This window comes from Homo sapiens, chromosome 4 (assembly GCF_000001405.40).
Source record: "Homo sapiens chromosome 4, GRCh38.p14 Primary Assembly".
NCBI lineage: Eukaryota > Metazoa > Chordata > Mammalia > Primates > Hominidae > Homo > Homo sapiens.
The window spans coordinates 105,058,939-105,061,575 of record NC_000004.12 but is presented as its reverse complement, the minus strand read 5'-3'; the positions used below and the strand labels follow the sequence as shown (position 1 = coordinate 105,061,575).

Genomic DNA, 2,637 nt, shown 5'->3' with positions numbered 1-2,637 from the left:
ACAACAGGAAAAATGTGACTCAGCTTATACAAAAGGGGAAGTCCCAGCGTTGGGCTCAAACAATGGGTCTGTCATTTTACTGCTTTGCTGGTCTGTCTTACCTTTTTGAAGACATGCACGGGTTGAGGACTCATCAATCTTCTCGGTCCTAGGCAGGGTCAGTAAATTTAGTATCCAGGGAGAGGCATTATTCCAGGTCATGAGCAGAGCAGAGGAAACAATGGGGAACTTGTGGTCAGGCTGGTAAAGTGATACCTTAAATTCCAGGAATACTTGATTTGGGAATGGAAACAGGATAGGCCCAGCAGCAAAACAAGAGCAGCACAAAATCCTCCTTAGAATGATCAGTCTAGTGAATGAATTAAACAAAGAAAGCAGACTGTGAGGGATATGTTTATTTTCTCCTATACTCACATATCTGCAGTTCCTTCTGCAGAAGATGTTACTGCAGAAGCAGTAACAACTAACTCATTGATGCAAAAACATTTTATGATATGACACTAAACACTGTGTATATGTGATTTACACGTTATGTGTTAATTTGAGTTTTAGAGGGATCTTTAAGTCATATAGGGCTGAGGAAAACATGTACTTCTTTGGCAACTGAGCTACATCTTACATAAAATAACACCACCAACACCGTATGGGCAGACCTCACTGTGGAGTCAAAGGCAGAAATAGTATGTTCTCCAAATGAGTCACTCCCAGAGGTCCTGTGGTCTTTAAAAACCTGACCACTATTATTCTCTGTGCTTATAGGTTGTTCTTAGTTGCTGCCTTGAGGCTTCCCCTCACTTCACTGTTTCCACTTCTTCTTTATTGACTTTTGTGAAGTCACCATTCTCTTCCTCTTTCATGGTAAAGTGATGGTAAATGTGGGTGATTAGGATGTTCAGTGAAGCACAGACTTATTAACAGGAACCAGGAGGAATGGCTAATGTTGCTAGGGTTTAAAAGTTTTACATAAAAGACAATCACAGTAGTAAAATAGTCATCAGTAAGAACATGACTTTTCTTGTTTCATTGAAAAAATGTTTAGTACTTTTGACTGAATTATTTCTAGAGTATGACAAATCTGTTTTATTGTTTTCCTATAACTTGGGGTCATTTTGTTCTGGCCTGTGGTATGCAATGCCCCAGAATATTTTATATATATTTTTTTTATTTTTATTTTTATTTTTTTTTGAGATGGAGTCTTCCTCTGTTGCCCAGGCTGGAATGCAGTGGTGTGATCTCAGCTCACTGCAACCTCTACCTCCTGGGTTCAAGCAATTCTCCTGCCTCAGCCTCCTGAGTAGCTGGGATTACAGTGCATGCCACCATGCCCGGCTAATTTTTGTATTTTTTTTAGTAGAGACGGGGTTTCACCATGTTGGTCAGGCTGGTCTCGAACTCCTGACTTTATGATCCGCCCACCTCGGCCTCCCAAAGTGCTGGGATTACAGGTGTGAGCCACTGCGCCCGGCTGCCCCAGAATATTATTAAGGATAGGTTTTTACTTCTAGTATAACCATATCTTCCTTATCTTTGTATGCTTAATACACAGTCAGTGCCTGAAACCTGTCAATCGCTTAATAAGCGTTTTTAATTGAATGAGTACATTTTCAAATATATCTTGATTAGTTACACTTTCTTTGAAAGAGCCCCCCAAAATAGATATAATTTTATAAAACTAGTACAGGGCTGAAACTGAACAACAAAACTGGAATTCCCTCTCCTGGGCCTCTCCAGAAAATATAGCTGAGATTGATCCTTTTGGTCACCACAGAAATAAAGAATGAATAAAAAGAGCCAGCAAAAAGAAGTCTTTAAAGACAACAAAGAGACTCTGTAGAGTTTTATGACAGGTTTAGATAATTAAAACTCATCACAAGGAAGGACATTTAGGAAACAGGAAGGGCTGACTTCATTCTACCCACAAGATTTCCAGAATCTTTCTTGATTCAGATGAGAGTGGAGGTCCCTCTTCTCCCCATTCCCACCCCACTCTTGAGTGCTGTGCTGCTTCTCCTTTCTCTGTTCCTGTTCTCAGTCTCCCATGTCACACAATAGTAACAAAATGACTAAAGTCTTACTCACTGAATATATTATGTGAGCCAAAAACAAGTGTTCTGGCAGCTTGGTGAACTTACCAAATCTCCTGAGTCTCAAGGTAGCACTGGCTTAAAGTCCTTGATGGAGCTTGAAGAAGAAAGTGTAATACATCTGTTCTCAAAATTCACTTGACTAACTCCATCACCTCCTTCAAGTCTGGGCAAATCTCACCTTCTCAATAAAGCCCGCTCTGACTGTCCTCTTTAATGCCGCAAACTACCCCTTCCCCAACACTACCTTCTGGCATTCCTGATCTTTCTTATTCTACTGTTTTTCTTTTCAGTGATGTTTATCATCTTCAAACATACTAGCATATCTACTTATGATGATTTTCTATTCCTGCCTCCCACTTGAATGTAAGCTTCACAAAGGCAGAGATCATAGTTTGTTTTTTAATATATCATAAGCCCCAAGAACAGTGTTTGGCCCATAGTAGGTGCTCAATAAAGATTGGTAGGATAAAATAATGAGTATTAATTAGCTATTGCTATGACACATGACTGAAGGAATTTATATATATTAAAGAGAAAAAGTACAAATAAT

The 2,637-nt window shown here is 39.4% G+C and overlaps 3 annotated features.

Annotated features, from left to right (window-relative positions):
- Positions 524-623: an enhancer, noted in NCBI's record as "active region_21775". NCBI's record gives its function as "activates an Ori minimal core promoter by ATAC-STARR-seq in GM12878 lymphoblastoid cells {active_cell/tissue: GM12878}" and the evidence as "EXISTENCE:reporter gene assay evidence [ECO:0000049][PMID:35858748]".
- Positions 2,099-2,168: an enhancer, noted in NCBI's record as "active region_21774". NCBI's record gives its function as "activates an Ori minimal core promoter by ATAC-STARR-seq in GM12878 lymphoblastoid cells {active_cell/tissue: GM12878}" and the evidence as "EXISTENCE:reporter gene assay evidence [ECO:0000049][PMID:35858748]".
- Positions 2,189-2,288: an enhancer, noted in NCBI's record as "active region_21773". NCBI's record gives its function as "activates an Ori minimal core promoter by ATAC-STARR-seq in GM12878 lymphoblastoid cells {active_cell/tissue: GM12878}" and the evidence as "EXISTENCE:reporter gene assay evidence [ECO:0000049][PMID:35858748]".